This window comes from Homo sapiens, chromosome 6 (genome assembly GCF_000001405.40).
Source record: "Homo sapiens chromosome 6, GRCh38.p14 Primary Assembly".
NCBI lineage: Eukaryota > Metazoa > Chordata > Mammalia > Primates > Hominidae > Homo > Homo sapiens.
The window spans coordinates 150,135,378-150,153,072 of NC_000006.12; the positions used below are offsets into that span (position 1 = coordinate 150,135,378).

At 46.7% G+C, this 17,695-nt stretch overlaps 1 protein-coding gene across 1 annotated transcript in view; it reads left to right on the forward strand.

Annotated features, from left to right (window-relative positions):
• Positions 1–7,666: 7,666 nt before the first annotated feature.
• PPP1R14C (protein phosphatase 1 regulatory inhibitor subunit 14C) overlaps positions 7,667–17,695 on the forward strand; it is a 107,349-nt gene continuing 97,320 nt past the window's right edge. Inside the window, exon 1 of the mRNA NM_030949.3 lies at positions 7,667–8,121. Within this exon, the coding sequence (NP_112211.1) occupies positions 7,816–8,121 (306 nt within the window). The 5' untranslated portion in view covers positions 7,667–7,815. The remainder of the gene's footprint in view (positions 8,122–17,695) is intronic.

The following is a 17,695-nucleotide window of genomic DNA, read 5'->3' on the forward strand; positions in this document are numbered from 1 at the left end:
ATGAGTAGGGCCCTGGAGGAATTGGTGACTATTGTCCTTTTGTTTACTATGGAAACATAGTAAAACCCACAGGAGCATCTTGGTAGACAGCAAAAGTGTGACTTCCTGTGATTTAAAATCACCACCACCCCCAGATTGGATCTATATTGGGGAGAGAGGAAACAGATCTATATTTTTGTATATTTGTATTGTAGACTTAAGAAATGTGTGCAGCTACAAGTGAAGATGGTCTCACTTATTCACTAATTTGGGGGCACCTGCTATGTGCTAAACATCATTCTTCTTCCTAAAAATATAACCCAATTAGCTGCATTCTGGTCTTCAGGAGTTTGCAATCTAATGGGAGGGACAGATGACAGCCTCCTTCTGTCCACTAGGTACTACTATTTGTCTCACACCGTTTTAGGAAGTGGAGATACTGAGGTGAACACTGACATCCTGTCCTCATGAAATTTGCCTTCTGTCGGGAGAGTAAGACAATGAACAAAGGCATATATAGTTTCCAAGCTGTCATAAGAGCGAGAAAGAGAAATAAAGAGGGCAGGAACATAGAGGGTGCAGGGAGAAGATCTGTGGAGGGAACATTTGAGCAGAGACCAGATCCCACACAGGTTTGGTGGGTGATATGATAGAGCCAGGGGTGGTGGCCAATAAGAAGCATGAGGGGGACACCTCCCTAAAACTAGGGACGTCAGGGAGAGCTTTGTCAGGGAGGTAAGGAGCACGTTCAGCCTGGGCAGATGGGTGTCTTAGTCCCTTTGTGCTGCTATAAGAAAATACCACAAACTGGGTGATTTGTGAAGAACAGACATTTATTTCCTTATGGTTCTGGAGGTTGGGAAGTCCAATGTCAAGGTGCTGGCATTTTCTGTCTTGTGAGGGCCTTCTCGCTGTGTCCTCATGAGGCAGAAAGGATGAAAGGGCAAAAGGGGAGAGGCAGCTCCTTTGTGCCTCTTTAACAAGGGCACCAATCCACTTATGAGGACTCTGTCCTCATGGCTTAGTCAACTCCTAAAGGCCTCTCTCTTAGTACGATCACATTGGTGATTAGGTTTCTACAGATGAATTTTGGGAGATACATTCAGATCATAGCAATGGTAATTTCCACTTGAGTTGCTTTAAATTTGAGGTGACTGCAGTCATCTAGGTGTTGGTGCCCCTGAGTAAGCAGTTGGACATAGGTGTTTACCTCCCATTTATTGGGGCTTGTTGATAGGAGCAATAATGAATTTGCTGCATAGAGAGTTGGAGCAGGACCCCCATGGAGATGGTTTCTGCTGTTCTCTTCCCATTCCTGAAGTCACGGTGTGTCCTTGGCCATAATTCCTTTGGGAAATTGCTGGAACCATGGTGAGCCAGTCCTCCCTTCTGTGTTTTTGGTCCCTCTGCAGATAACAGCAGGCATTGTCCTAGGTGCTTTATTCCAGTAACTCACTCAGCCCTCCCACACACACGCACACACAAGCACCACTGATCATGCTGCAGATGGAGAAGTGGAGGTACAGAGAGATTCAGTAACTTGCCAAGGTCACCCCGTACTTCAGTGGCAGAGAGTGAATTTGATCCAGGCAGCTGAGATCTGGGTTTGTGCTGGTGACCACAATACACTTGTTCTCAAGCTGGAGGCTCTCCCAGTTGCTGTCTTCTCATCTTCACCCTCTGGGCACTCTGGAGGGCATTTCCTAAGGGAGGCTGGAGGCCCAGCCAAGGTGCCTCTTAATGTCAAGAATATGCTTTCTCTTTGGTTCTTCTGTGGCACCTCCAGGAGGTCACACACGTGCCCTTGGTCAGCCATTTGGGGTCAAAGTTCTTCACCAGAACTCTGAAAAACTTAATAATGGTACATTGAGAATGCCTGGGGTGCTGGGCATGGAGGCTCACACCTGTAATTCCAGCACTTGGGAGGCCGAGGTAGGAGAATTGCTTGAGTCCAGAAGTTCCAGACCAGCCTGGGCATTATAGGGAGACCCTATCTCTACTAAAAGCAAAAAGCAAAAACTACAAAACAAAAAATTTAGCCAGGCATTGTGGCCTGCATCTTCTAGCACTTTGGGAGGCTGGGAGGTGGAGGATCACTTTAGCCTGGGAGTTAGAGGCTGCAGTGGGCTATGATCAAGCCACTGTACTCCAGATTAGGTGACAAAGCAAGACCCTGTCTCAAAAAAAAAAAAAATTAAAAAGAAAAAAACCCAGAATGTCAAACGTATCAATAACCACCCTGGAGTGTGCCATTAAGATGAAGGAGAACCAGGATTCATGTTCATAGGTGCACTGATGGCTGCCAGCAGTGGTTTGAACAGTGGGCTTTTTGCAAGAATGAGTTGCAATCCTTTAGTGGGTTAGGACTAACTTTAGTATGCTGGGACCAGCATTCTTTAAACATAAAGACACAGAGTAGATTGAGTAGGAAGTGTCAGAGTGTATCACATGAAATATGGGTGATATGGTTTGGCTTTGTGCCCCACCCAAATCTCATCTTGAATTGTAATCCTTGGGTGTTGAGGGAGGAACCTGGTGGGAGGTGATTGGTACGTGGGGGTGGTTCACCCCATGCTGTTCTTGTGATAGTGATTGAGTTCTCACAAGATCTGATGGTTTTATAAGTGTTTGGCAAGTTCCTCCTTCTCTCATTCTCTCTCCTGCTGCCTTGTGAAGAAGGTGCCTGCTTCCCCTTCTGCCACGATTGTAAGTTTCCTGAGGCCTCCCCAGTTATGCGGAACTGTGAGTCAGTTAAACCCATTTCCTTTACAAATTACCCAGTCTCAGGTAGTATCTTTACAGCAGTGTGAGAACAGACTAATACAATGGGTAAGTGTATGTGTGTGGATATATATATGGGTCATGACATAAAATGTATTTATTGTGGTTTGTAGTTAAAAAAATGTTTGAAAAACATTGGGCTTGAGTACTATTTACTGTGCTGGCCACCCAGCACAGTAACATTACTGTACTGTAATTACAGTACAGTAATTACTGTAATGTTTTGTTTTCTCATGAATTGCTGTAGCTATGTACTGATATACTTTAAATATAAAGATAATTGTGGAGTGCATTGGCACTGTATGTGGTATGCTGCAGATCTAAAGCTCTGGCCGTAGATCTGCTTGAGGTAATGATTTGAGGGGTCTGTGGCAGGTAGGTGGGAGTCAAAGCTGCAGGAAGTTGGAGCTCTAGCAAAAGCACCTGGGGAGGCTGTGAATGAGTAAGGAAAGAGCCCAGGGCAGAACTTGGGAACCACCTACCTTGAGGGCAGGGGTGTAGGAAAAAGAGCCCACAAAAAACACTCACTGTAATGCAATAGATAAAGAGGTAGGAGGAAAATCAGGAGGGTGTTGGTACCTGGAGCCAAGACAGGAGAGAGTTTGAATAGTGAGGAAAGGTTCAAGATTGTTAAATGTGGCAGAAGGTCAAGTTATATAAGCGCTGAAACGCGCACCTGTGCTTGAGCAACACAGAGCTGGCTGGTGACCTCAGTGAGGGCGCAGGGCTCCACGATGAGATGGGAAGACCTAGAGACGTGGGGGAAGGGACACTTCCTCCAGAATGTTTGGTGGTAAAAGCGAGGAGCACAAGAGGCCATTGGCTAGAAGGGAGGATAATTTGCTCCTCTAGAAACAAATTTGAACCTAGTTTTTCAGAAGGAGACAATATACCCCACATGTTAGGCTTACTGAAATGGGCAGAGGTATGTAATTTTTGTTTAAAGGGATGGACAAAGCTATGGTTTTTTTTTCACCCATTTTTCATCATGTCTGAACAGTGAGGTGAGAACTTACGTTAGTTTTTGAGACAAAATTTTAGACTTGCAACAATGATTGCTGTTGCTTTTTTTTTTTTTAATGCAAGCAACGGCCAAATTATTTTGGAATTACGATCCTAAATTGATCCCAGCCTGATACAATCAAAGGTCCAGAATTAGAAGGAGAAAAAGTGGAGAGTGAAACAGTAGCCAAAAGAAAAACTTCACTGATATACTGTCAACAGCTGTGCTGTTATCACTCTGTAAAGAACAATGAAATATTGGAATGAAAATGGAAAATGCTGTGGGTAACCAATGGAATCCTGAAAGACAGATTAAGTTTCTTCAACATTTATAATGAAAACCAGACTGAAAATAATTTTTAATTTGTCTTTTTGCTTCATCAAATCTTGGAGAGGATTCGGATATAGGCATCTTATCATTTGACATTTATTACTCAAGATAAGAAGATTATGTTCAGGTTTGTGGGTCTCCAGGATGCAATTATAACATTGTCAAAGTAGATTACCAGGTGTTGCATAATTATTGTGCCGTTTAAGGAAATTTGCATCTGAGTATAAACATGTGTATTTAATTATTTTCCTGGGGGGTGACAAAAGTTCCAGGACTCCTGATTAAGTCATCCATCCTGTCTAACAACCTTTGGGCATAAAGATCATATTCAGAGATAAAGGACCTATATAATTCCTAAACAAACAAACAAAAAACTTTGTCCAATTTGGGAAGCAAGTAAAACATAACCAAGCTAAGAAAACACAAAACTACGAAGAAAAAGATTCAAATGAAACATCCTTAGGCTGCCCTCTCATAGCAGGGAGTAATTGCCTTCAGGTAAAAGTTGATTCCGGACCATTCAATTCACTGAAAGCTATTCACTGTCTTAGATTAACCAGCACCTAAAAACACTTGACTAAATAGGCTAGAAATAAAAATGTTTTCCTTGAATAAATGTATATATTATTGGTTTTGTAGATGAGAAATACCACTGGTTTTGCCGAATTTAAATAGTCAGCTATGTAAAGGGTCTCTGGACTAGGAAAAATTCCTTTATTCCTAAATATTTTGGCTTCAATATTTGAAATCTGCAAAAGCAGTATTTCTATCTGTCAAAATGAGGCCATTAAGTTTTGATTATTCAAACCTGGAATGAAGTGTGTGTGTCTGGGGGTAGAGGAGATGATATGGACTTCACTTTGAATATAAATTACGTACTGGGTGGAGCAAATGGATTTAAAGAAAGAGGAACCCTGGTTCAATTCTATTTGCCAGTCAAGGTGACTCACTTGAACATCTGAAGGCCAGCGTACCTGTGGAAAGAGACTATTTCCTGGATTTTCTTCTGTGAGTCAAGATGCTTAAAACCCATGTCTTTTAGTATCTGTCATTTTGGAGTTGTAAGGGAAAATTGAGTTTTAAGCATAAAGGAAAAAGCATCTTATGCTGTGAGAAAAAAATTGACATCAGAATTTCTCAGAAAGAACTTAGTGAATTTTTTAAAATTATTTGACGTTATCCTTGAATGACTGATTTCGTTGTCCAAAGACTTAAAGAAAGGAGTTGGAATTCCCCAGACTTTGCCAAACTGTGGGATGGCACAATAGGTATTGTCAGGTCCCAGGGCCAGAATGAGGTAGAGATTTTATGTAGTTTCTCCTTTGTTAATAACATTTAAGCTGTTTTCGTTCTGATTTGCATTCTCCTGATTAGTGCAGTTGGTCAAAGCTGGTGCTAGCGGACTTGGCCAGATGTCTGGAGCCATATAAGCTGATTCTGTGTGGGAGATGCTGGGGCTGGTTCCTGCCCTCCTTTCCCTTCCTCCTTGCAGACAGAGTTCCATTTTGAGGTGGTCACTCTCTTGGCTGTGTGTTCGGGGTTTACAGTGACCCACCCTAAAGGCAGAGGGGCAGAGGTGGTGCAGAGACTGGTCATCGGTCTCTAGGGGCAATCAAGGTAATTCATCTCCCTTGTCCCTGATAGGCTCGGTGCAAAACCCATCTTCTAAAGGGCAGCTGGCCTCTTCTAGCGGGGCAGAGATCGTTCAGCTTTGACCCCTTTGTAATTATGGCAGGAGTCCAGGGCCCCACACCAGCCACCCTATTTCAATCTCCGCAGATCCTTCCCCTTCACATTGTGAGGCTTGACATGTCCCTGTGAAGAGCCGCAGGCATGGAACACTTTGGGAAAATCCCTATTCAGGCTCTCACTGGAAAACCCCAGACTGAGGGTACAAAGGCAATGGATCCTAAGCCTGGGTAGAGCAGAGCTGGGCGCTGGTGGATCGCAGAGCCTGAAGCGCCAGGAGAAACCTGCTGGTTACTTTTATTTTGTCTTTGTAGTGTCAGTCTAGAACCCCACACAGGATCTTCTCCATCATAGGAAAGTGTTCCGAGGAATTTGACTTGGTATCTATTTTATCTCTGAGAAACTTCTTTGAGTAGCTGCCAGTAACCTTTAGGGCTCTTTTATTTAAAAACAACAACAACAACAAACAAACAAAAAAAGTTCATGGCCAGGCGCGGTGGCTCACACCTGTAATCCCAGCACTTTGGGAGGCCCAGGCGGGCGGATCATGAGGTCAGGAGTTCGAGACCAGAATGACCAACATGGTGAAACCCTGTCTCTACTAAAAATACAAAAATTAGCTTGGTGTGGTGGCGAAAGCCTGTAATCCCAGCTCTTCAGGAGGGTGAGGCAGGAGAATCGCTTGAACCCCGAAGTCAGAGGTTGCAGTGAGCCGAGATCTCGCCACTGCTCCCCAGCCTGGGCAACAGAGAGACTCCGTCTCAAAAAACAAAACAAAACAAAACCGTTACTAAAAGCCGCTTACTTGTATTCATTCGGACGTCTCTGTGGTTTCTATCAGTTCCTGAACAGGAATGTATTGTTGTGTACAAGAAGAATATGTTAGTGTCTCCCTAATTTTACACATGCAGTTTTCTGTTTACAACTTCCCTCCCCACCTTATTGTCCTAACCCTTCTGAGAAGCTCCTTCATGTGTAACTACTAGGCTGTGATGTTTTGCAGTAGAGTCAGGCAGTGCTGTTGCCCTCCTGGGTGGAAGGGGCTGTTTGGAATGGGATGGAGAGAAAGCTGGCAGTGCACGGGACGCAACACTAGAAATGTGAAACCAGGACCCTGTCGCCGACCCTCTTAGAGAAATGTTTACTGTCTGGATGCCCCCAGACGCCTTGCCTGAGCGCCGTCACGCTTTCTGCCCTTTGGATACGAAGATATCCGAATGCTGTGCCCATGATTAAGCAGACGCTTAGTAAGGAAAGAAAACATTGGTCTGGAAATAATTTCTCAAGCGCCGTGACTGCCTTATTGCACAAACATCGCCTCTTCGATGTTTCTCACAATCCAGAGAGGAAGTGGCATCCATCGTGGCATGAATAGGAATGTGTGTTTGGAGCCGTGGGGCGGGGCTGGAGGGGAGGGGACGCTACCCAGCCAACAGAGGAGACGGTGGGGCTAGGAAAACCTCCTGGGGGAGCCTGCGGCGCGGTCCTTTCCTGTGTCCCCTTCGCTGCGGGTCCTGCCCGGGGCCGCGCCAGGTGGAGGCCCCGAGAGGCGGCGCGTTTCCTGCGCTCCGGGATTGCGGGAGAAGCGTGAGTCCCTGTCTCCGAGACTAGAGGCCACGGACACCCGCGCAGGAGCATCCCCTGGCACCCCGCCCCACGCCCGTCCTTCCGGAGTCTACACATCGGCGACCTCCCGTGTCTAGGCGCACACATTTCCCGCCCCGCGGAGACTCCCACGCCCCGGGCCCTCTCTGCCGCAGGCGCCAGATCCCGCCTCTGGGGGCTGGACCGAGAGGGTCCTCGGCGGCTTCTTTAAGGCTGCGGTCCCCGCCCCGTCGTCCTCCCCGCCCTCCTCCCTCTCGCCGCGGCTCCTCCCGCCCTCCCAGAGCAGCCGGGCGGCTGGGCGCGCGCGGCGCAGAGCAGGTGCCGGGGAGCCCTTCGCATGCGGCTGCCGGGCCGGAGGTGGTAGCGGCGCCGGGCGCGCTCCGCCCGCCCCTCCTCCGGGCCGCACTGAGGCTCGGGCGCGCGGGGACATGTCGGTGGCGACGGGCAGCAGCGAGACGGCCGGCGGGGCCAGCGGCGGCGGCGCACGGGTTTTCTTCCAAAGCCCCCGGGGTGGCGCCGGTGGCAGCCCCGGCTCCAGCAGCGGCTCAGGCTCCTCCCGGGAGGACTCGGCGCCCGTGGCCACGGCGGCCGCTGCAGGGCAGGTTCAGCAGCAACAGCAGCGGCGACACCAGCAGGGAAAAGTGACAGTGAAATACGATCGTAAGGAGCTTCGGAAGCGGCTGGTGCTGGAGGAATGGATCGTGGAGCAGCTGGGTCAGCTCTACGGCTGCGAGGTACCTGGGCGCGGGGCTGGGAGGGTCGGGGACCTCTCTAGCTCCTCTGTGCCCGCGCAGTAATTTTCCCGGGCTCCAGCTCCGGGGCGCGCATGTCCCTGACTCCCGGGGACCAAGTGCCAGGAGCGAGGCGCGGCGCCTTCTCTCCCCCGCGGTGCCCTCTGGCGTCGGGCTCAGCGGTTGGGACGCCCCTGTCTGGGTTCGGCTGCCGGTGCCCGGGGATCTGCGGGCCCCCTTGGTGGCCGTGGGGAGGGTTGGGTCCCGCGGAGCACAGTGCTTTTCTCCGAGCTCCGGGCGCCTCTGGGCTCCAGCTGCAGCTGCGCAAAGCGGGGCTCGGAGGGGCTCACTCCAGCTGCGCCTCAGCAGCGGTTGGGGATACAGCAGCCAAAGAGAGCAGCGCTCACTGCTGGGATCCGGGCAGCCCTGATTTTTGTGGAGAACGAGCAGGGAAGGAAGGAAGCTGCCTCGTGGAAAGGAGAGGTTCTGGGGATCTCAGAGGCCCCCTTGGTTCTTGAAATTCCCCGTGAAAATCCTGAGATGGAACGCTTTCCGCTTTCCAGCCAGCCCCGACGGTGTCTCCATAATTCCGCCCTGCATTATCAGAGCTGCACACGTTGTGCTTTGTTGAAGCCGTAGTTTTTCCTCTCTAAGCTCAGTTACTCCCATTGATGGGCGCAGAATGAGCATCTGGGGCAACCTCGACGGGTGCCTCGGTGGAAGGGCGGGAGCCCTGCGGGGGGCCTGCGGGATCCCGGGATCTGTCAGCTTCAGGCTCCCAGCTCCCCTCTCCTCCACGACATCGTGACTTCCCAAGGTCCAGGGACTAAGGTCATACACAAGTCTCAGGGACGTGTATACATTTGATTTAGGGAGAAATATGTAGAATAAACTGCAGCAAAACGACTGAAGCCAAAATGATCTCTCATGAGCATCTTGAATAACAGTTATTAATTCTAAATGAAGTGACCTCCTCTTAAGGGAGTGGAGTTTGGAAAGGGTGGAAGCATGAAGGGGTTAATAATTAAGAATGTGGCTTCTAAGCTAAAGCTAGGTTTGTGTTCATTCAACTGTTGTGCTCTTCAACAGAGATGACAACCAGATGAACTCACAGGCTTTACCACTAATGTCGGGTGTTCTGTATTTGACACATTTCATGGCCTGTTGTGAAGACACGTTTTCTTAAACACCCTCATTGCACAAGAAAACAGCATACTCGTTACTGACTACTGATAAATGATTATAATATAATGAAGCTTGACTGTATGACTAATGGGGTTGTAAAAATGTGTTGTTTCTCCAGTCCAGCTCTTACAAAAAGCTAATTTAATTGCATAAATAAAAACTGGCAAACATAAGAAGTATTCATGAGATTTTTATAGGAAGTTGGCAAAACTCTGTAAAGAAACATTATTTGATGTAGATGGGATTACTGTTGGATGAGTGGATGTGCTCAGTCCTGCCTCTGTAGAATCCAGTTAATTTTCATTTATTTCATACTGTTTTTTTTTTCTCCATTTGGGATTTGGAAAAGATTCGAATTAATAGAAAAAGCATTGTTGAAATTAACAGTGCACCAGCATGGTTCTTTTTGTGGGAGACTAATTAGGCTTAGATTGGGAAGCTAGAAAGAGCTCTACCCACTGAGTAGCCTGATAAACAATATATTTAAAAAATACTTCAGAATAATTAGAAAAAATGGAGGTTTGATTGTTTCCTGTGTGGAACATGTAGGTTAGGTATATATTTTAAAGGGTAAACATGAGCTTGAATCTTTTCCTTGTATTGTACTTTTCTTCTTGGGTTTTAAATCTTCAACCCGTAGCAAACAGCTAGACATTTGAAAGGGAGGTTTTTGTGGTGAAATAATTCAAGATGCTCTATATGCTGCCTGCATGTCATTAACGTGGCAAGTATTTTTCTTCAAGTTGTTTGTTCAGTCATTGTAGGCTGAAGGAAGAGAAATAATTAGGTTGTTGGCAATTTGTAATCACTATGCTGGTGGTGTACCTCCATTTAATAATAAAGAAACATGGGCAAATAAGTAGCCAAATAAAGGCTTGTCTCTTTGCATCTATTTCTCTGCTGATAGTGCTCTATTTTTAGCATTGGGTTCTCTTGTTGAGTAACCTTTCTTTGTTGATAGCTTCAAGTATTTCAGCCTCTGGTTTGTGAATCAAGAAGGACGCACCCTAGCTTACAGCTCCGAACTTCATGCATACGAAGATTAGGAAATGTCCTTTTTATACTTAAAAGTGGTAATTCTTTCAAATGTTTAGCCCATGAAAGTGACACAGCCAATTTCCCAGCCTTCAAACCTCAAACCTGCCAAAGGCTTGAGTTATCTGCTGAGTTGGGGTAGAATATGAACACATCTTTAATTTCAGAAGAACTTGACCCAAGCAGGTTAGGAATCAGATGACTTGACCTTTTCAGAATAGAAAATAATCTTTTGGAGCAGTGTAAAGTGATGTATTTAGAAAGAGGAAGAGGAAAGAAGAAATACACAGAACCACTTTCTGTCTGTGTTTTTTTCTGGAAGTGTGCAGTGACTAATCAGTTTTGTATGAGAATAATGTCATAGGGGAATTTATTACCTACCTACTAGGTGACTAGGTGCTCTTCTAGGTACTTTGGGCTAATTCATTTAGTCTTCATAACAACCCTATAAAGAAGATGTTCTTTTTATCCTTGTTTAAATGTAAATAAAGAAGTGAAGACTCAGAGAGGATTAAAAGGCTGCTTCAAGCTCATGTAGCTGGTGGGTGGGTTGGGGTTGAGGATGAACCCAGTCTGGAATCTGAGTCCACTGTATACCCATGAGGCCTGTCTGTACCGTGCAAGAGAGCAAATGTAGGTCTACAAGACATCTGTCTAAATGTTTAAAACTTATGAGTTAAACTAACAACATTTGTATAAAATTTCTTCTGTCCACTGATCTTGACAGCTACATCTTCATAATGACCTTGAAGTCTAGGTTTGCATTTTGAATTCAAAATGTTACTTCCCAGAGTCATGAACTGAAATGCAGTTAGGAGACTGCCCTGGCCTGGGTTTCTTCCCTTTTGCTTCCCATCCTTGGTACAGTCCCACCTGGTAAAGGACACTGTGTCCACTCGCACGCCCAGTCTTGGTATGCACCTGCCACTCCTTGACCATGATGCCTCTGCACACACCAGTGGTGATGTCCCCCTAGGCCAGAACAGATCTGGGAGGAGCTTGTTCATGCCCTAGAAGCTACTTGGGATTTGAGAAGGGAATTCTGGGGACCCGGATCACAGACTAAAACCAAGTGGAGGGGCACTGGTTCTGGATAGATGTGTCCACTTTGTCCTAGGAAGTCTTCAGGAAGACAGGTTATGGCAGGAGTGGGGCCCGGAGATGTGGTCCCCTCTTACCCAGTCTAAGGGCAGCACTGTAAAATACCACGTCAAATAGCCTTTTGAATACGTAGATAAGTGCTTTTATTGGATTCCAAAATGATTTGTTATGTGCTTATAGTTCTTTTCCATCTCATCTTCTCTTGGGAAGGCTTATACAGGTACATTTTCAGCTAGGAATTTGATTATAATGTAACCATTAGACTAAATCTACATCTACATCCACATTTAAGGATTTCTGTTTAAAGACCTTTTTTTTTTTTTTTTAATCTCTTCCAAACCCTGGTGGGTTTTTTTTGTTTTGTTTTGTTTTTGTTTTTTTGAGATGAAGTCTTTCTCTGTGGCCTAGGCTAGAGTGCAGTGGCGCAATCTCAGCTCACTGCAACCTCCGCCTCCTGGGTTCAAACGATTCTCCTGCTTCTGCCTCCTGAGTAGCTGGGGCTGCAGATGCGTGCCACCATGCCCGGCTAATTTTTGTATTTTTAGTAGAGACAGGGTTTCACTATGTTGGCCAGGCTGGTCTCGAACTCCTGATCTCATGATCCGACTGCCTCAGCCTCCCAAAGTGCTGGGATTACAGGCATGAGCCACCGCGCCCAGCCAACCCTGGTGGTTTTTAAGAGCATTTGAAATCTGGCATAATATCTACTTTAACAAGTACTGCAAGATGACTTACTGGATAAGTCATATGAATATTTCCAAGTTTGCCCAGCATCAAGATAACATCTGTACTTCCAGTTTTGCAATTCAATTTGCTTTGGAAATAAAAACATGTTGCTAAGCTCAGATGATTGCAATGCCCGTAGCATCCTAGCCATAAACAGGCTTGTGTACCTTGGGTACTTGCTGTGTTGTTCTGACTGTCACCTTAGTAGGTCTTTCCCTTTGCTTCCAGTGTCTGCTTTTTATAAAATGGTTCCTGACTTATTATACCTTTCAGTCTTCCCTGACTCCCCATTACCCCCATTTTATAAAAACTGTCTTCTGAGAGATGGTGGTGACACAGAAAGAAATACCCTGTTGATTGCTGCCTGATACATCTGGATATATAGATTGCTGCCTGACACATGGATACAGAGAAACAGAGAGTCATAGGGTACCACTTAATCTTACTGTATGCTAAGGAAAAATATTATAAAAGTAATCTGAAACATAACGTCATTAGTGTTTAAATACCATGTTTTATTCCTCACTTTCTGAAAAATGATTTTATTTTTCTAAATTTGTTTCATAATGCATTTATGAGTTGTGACCTGCAATTTTAAAAGTACTGCTTCTGAAAGGGAGAAGCCTAAACATGTGTAATAGAGTTAGCAGACACTGGCCGAGTACTTAGCACGTACTAGGCAAGGTTCATGTAATCTTGGCAACAACTCTGAGACCCCCATTTTGTGGAGGTGGAATCAGGCACAGGGAAGTTAAGAAGTTGCCCCAGGACTCTCAGCTGGGATGTGACAGAACAAGGCTGTGGCCAGGGAGTCAGGCACACCTTAACAAATGGCCTGTCCTGCCTCCTGAGACAGGGCAGAGCCTGGCACCTATGTGAACCCCATGGTTTGCCTGTTCCCAGATGCTGCTGTTATACCTTGTAAATGGACTGTGAGTGCATGTGGAGGACACCACTGTTAGCGGGTTAGTTCTTGCACCTGGATGAGGCCTCTCCTTTTACATGCAGATCCTGGATTTCCACAGACTTTTCCAGGTACAGTATCACATCAGCCGGCTTTGCTACTTTATTAGCGCTCAAGCTGGAAGGTAGAAACTGCTACTTAGAACTCGTCTTGTGGATTGTTTGGTAAATCACCATTTGTTCAGGTATTTGAGGACAGGCTTTTAAACAACAACAAAACCCCCTGAACTCCATAAACTCAACCTGTCAACTACTAAGGAATAAATTACACATGCAAAAAGTCAGTGGATAAAGCCAGGCATGGTGGCTCTAGCCTGTAATCCCAGCACTGACGGATCGCTTGAGGCCAGGAGTTGGAGACCAGCCTGAGGAATATGATGAAACTCCGTCTCTACAAAAAATACAAAAATTAGCCAAAGATGGTGGCATGCGCTGGTGGTCCCTGCTTCTCAGGAGGCTGAGGTGGGAGGATCACCTGAGCCCGGGGAGGTTAAGGCTGCAGTGAACCAAGATCACACCACTGTACTCCAGCCTGGGCAACAGCCTGCCTCAAATAAAAAGAAAAAAAAAAGTCAGTAGATAAAAGAATTCTAAATTGCCAAAGGAAGGAAAGAAAACTGCTTAACACATTCCCTTTGGAACAGTGGTTAGGGAAATGCGGGGTGGAAGCAGTGGTTACAATGTGTGCTTTGAAGTGCGATGAACCTGAATTCACATGTGGCCCTGTCATTCAGTGGGTATATGTGATTAGGCAATTTCCTTCACCCCTCTGAGCCTCACTTTCTCCATACATATGTGTGTGTGTGTGTGTGTGTGTGTATGTGTGTGTATATTTCAGACAGTCTGACTCCTGTTGCCCAGGCTAGCTAGAGTGCAGTGGGGCTATCACGGCTCATTGCATCGTTGACCACCCAGGCTCAAGTGATCCTCCCACCTAATTTTTTTTTTTCTTTTTTTTTTTTTTTTTTTTTTTGTGGAGACAAGGTTTCACTGTGTTGGCCAGGCTGGTCTCGAATTCCTGGGCTTAAGTGATCCGTCAGCCTCAGCCTTCCAAAGTGTTGGGATTACAGGTGTGAGCCACTGCGCCCGGCTACTTTCTCTGTATGTTGAAGGAAATCATCCTGGTGCCTTTGCAGGGCTGTCAGGAGGACTGATTGGTGAGACACCAAGCATAGTACTTAGGACATAGCATGTCAGTGTTGTTATTGGAGCCACAAGCTGCCACTAACTGTTGGTTATTCTCTATGATGGAGACAGAGGAAAGGGGTGAAGAAAACAAGGTATTCACATCTATTTGGTGCAATAATTTGGAGAAGAGTATAGGGTTACTTTAGGGTCAGGGGTGTTGGTGTATGTTTGAACTTGAACATGGGCAAATATTCTCTAAACTGTTCCTCCTGTTTCTAGAGCCTTCCTCATTCTCTATGTTTTGGTGGATTTTTACATATGTGCAGGGAAGTTAGACTGTAACAACTTGAAGGCAAGGAACTGTCTTAATTTTCATCATTTAAAAGTTCATAGCGGGACACAATTCTTCAACATTTAAGCATTTGCTTGAATGAATGAAAAAGGATCAATGTTCAGCAAATGTTTAAAAGTCATTGATGTTTCTGTATCTGAACTAATTGGTGATATTCCTTTATCATAGACATGGCGAGGGCAAAAGTCAATCTGTGTTTTTGTTACTGTAGTCATATCACATTCTTGCATCCTTACAGCTTTATGTCAGTGCTGTTGGAAAATACACCTTTCTTCATTGACTTACTTGCTCCAAACAGGAACTGAAAGGTGGTAATGGTAGCCAATTGACTTTGAAGTTTAGGTTGACAGAATTCTTTTGCAAATGTGATCTTCCCTGAGTCCCACCCACTGTCTTTTCCTTTGCTCCTAACGTGCCCCTGCTACACTAGTTCTGCCTGCTGTTCTCATCTCTGTGGGTACATGTTTGCTTTTGCTGTCTTCTGTTTGTCCTTTTCCTCTCAGCCTAAAACAACCTGGCAGCCCCTGGTCTCCCTCGCCTAGCCCACAGCTCTCTGTCAAGAAGTCTCTTTCTAGATGGAGGGAAGAATCAAATCTGAATTTTATTTTCCATGTGGCACATGCTTTGGCCACATGGTTTACTTTGTAGTGCATGCTCTTGCTCTTGTTTCCTGCACTGGGCTAGTTCAAGCCTTCACCTGTCTTTTCAAGGCACCTCTTCTGTTCTCTGCCCTCCCAGTCTCCTCCTCTGCAAGCTAGACCAGCCACCCTCCAGGCACTTCATTCACGACACCCCTTTCTTGGCTGAGTTTTCAACCTCTCTGGCCCATTCATTTCAGCATATACACAAGTTGAAGTCTCTCTCTTCTGTTTAAACCACCACCATCCCCCACTACCACACAAATACCTTCCCCTCCTCCGCCCTGTATTCCCCCACCGCACATGCCGCTCCGTCTTTCTCCTTCCCTTTCTGGGTTTTTCCTCTTTTGCCTGCTCTTCAGTGATGACATTTCTCTGTCTTCGGGCCCTGGCTCTCTGTTTTTTTTGTTGTTTGTTTTGTTTTGTTTTTTTTTCCTTCACTCCTGCGTGCTGTTTTTGGATGATAAGACCCTTCCTGTGGCTTTAATTGCTGTCCATATGCGGACAACGTGTGACTCTGTATTTTTAGCCCTGATCTGTTTTCTGAGTGCCAGATGTATTCAGACAACTTTGAAATGGACAGTGCCACTTAGTACCCCAGAGAAACCTCATATTCAACTGGTCTGAAAATGAGTTTCTCATCTTCCTTAGGAAACCTGCTCCTCTTCCTCACTTCCCTCAGTGGGCGGCAGGCGCTGCTGTGCACAGTTGTCCCAGCCCAAGATTACGTGGCATGCTTATCTCTTGCCTCCTCCTTGCTGTCACACCCAGGAGTCACAAAGTCTTGTTGATGCTCCTACAGCTCTGGAATATGAGTCCCCACTGGTCCCTGCCACTGCCTTAATCCAGCTCCTTGTAACTTCTCACCTGTATAATAGCAATGGTCACTGTAGTCCAGTTTCTTTCAAATTACGGCAACCACTCTTTCTGCTACTGCACCCTCCACCACTGCTGCTATTGTTTCTACTACTGCTGGGACTAACCCAGCTCTCAGGTGACAGCCAGGAGATTTATGCATCTTACCTCATACCATCAATCCTCCCAACAACTTTATGAAGGAGATGGTGTTATCTTCATTTCTTCATTTTTTGGAGAAAGCAGCTGAGATCTGAGAAGTTGTCCCTTGTCCTTGTCCAAGTTCACACTGATTCCAAAGTCACTTAGCTATGATGCTCCCATTGCTCCCAGTAGCTCCATTTAAGAAGTGCTGATTGCGGCCGGGCGCGGTGGCTCACGCCTGTAATCCCAGCACTTTGGGAGGCTGAGGCGGGCGGATCACGAGGTCAGGAGATCGAGACCATCCCGGCTAAAAAGGTGAAACCCCGTCTCTACTAAAAATACAAAAAATTAGCCGGGCGTAGTGGCGGGCGCCTGTAGTCCCAGCTACTTGGGAGGCTGAGGCAGGAGAAGGGCGTGAACCCGGGAGGCGGAGCTTGCAGTGAGCCGAGATCCCGCCAATGCACTCCAGCCTGGGCGACAGAGCGAGACTCCGTCTCAAAAAAAAAAAAAAAAAAAAAAAAAAAAGAAGTGCTGATTGCAAACCTTGTCCTTCATGGGTGCTAATTTAATCCTCGCAGTAACTCTGCAAGGTAGGTGAAGAAACTGAAGTACAGGGAGTTTGAGCTGCAGGCCTCCGTCAGAGGCCACATGGCGGGCAGGTGGCAGGGTCTCTGGTTCCTGGGTTGGGCCTCCCGCTCTGTCCCTGCTCCAGCTCCCCACGGTGCTTCAGAGCCACCTCCATGGGCTGCAGCTAGTGTGTTTTCTAAAATCCAGGTGGGATCTTGTTCCGCACAGCCTTCAGGATAAAGCAGGAGCCCCTTAGCACGTGACCAGGGCTCAGGGGTTTCCCTGCCCCAGTCTCTGGACTTGTCTCTAGGCACCCCCAGCCCTGCTGTTTCAGCTATCAGCTGAGTCCCTAAGGCAGCTCAGCAGGAGCCCCTCTGCCATAATCACCTCCACCCCCTCCCCTGCCCCCACTCCCTAGCTGTCTAGCTTGCACCTGTTCTTAGCCTGGTACTTGGCAGTGCCTTCCCAGGAGCTTCTCTGATCCATCTCCTGCTGTCAGGCTGGCTCTGTGGCCTTTCCAGGGTCCCTCTTTCTGTAATCCTGTCTCCCACCCTCACTGCAGCCTCCTGAAGGCAGAATCTTGTACCTTTGCAGCCCTGGTGACTCTCACACACCTGGCTGCACTTGGGTGTCTCTGCTATGGACTGAATGTTTGTGTCTCCCCAGATTCATAGGTTGAAACGCTAGTCCCCAGAGTGATGGTATTTGGAGGGAGGACTTCGTGGAGGTCATTAGTGTTAGGTGAGGTCGTGAGGGTGGAGGTCCTGTGATGTGATTAATGCCCTTAAAAGGGGAGGAAGGGGCCAGAGCTCGCTCTCACTGCCATGCAAGGGCACAGCGTGAAAGCACAGCAAGAAGATGGAAGACGGCCACCTGTAGACCA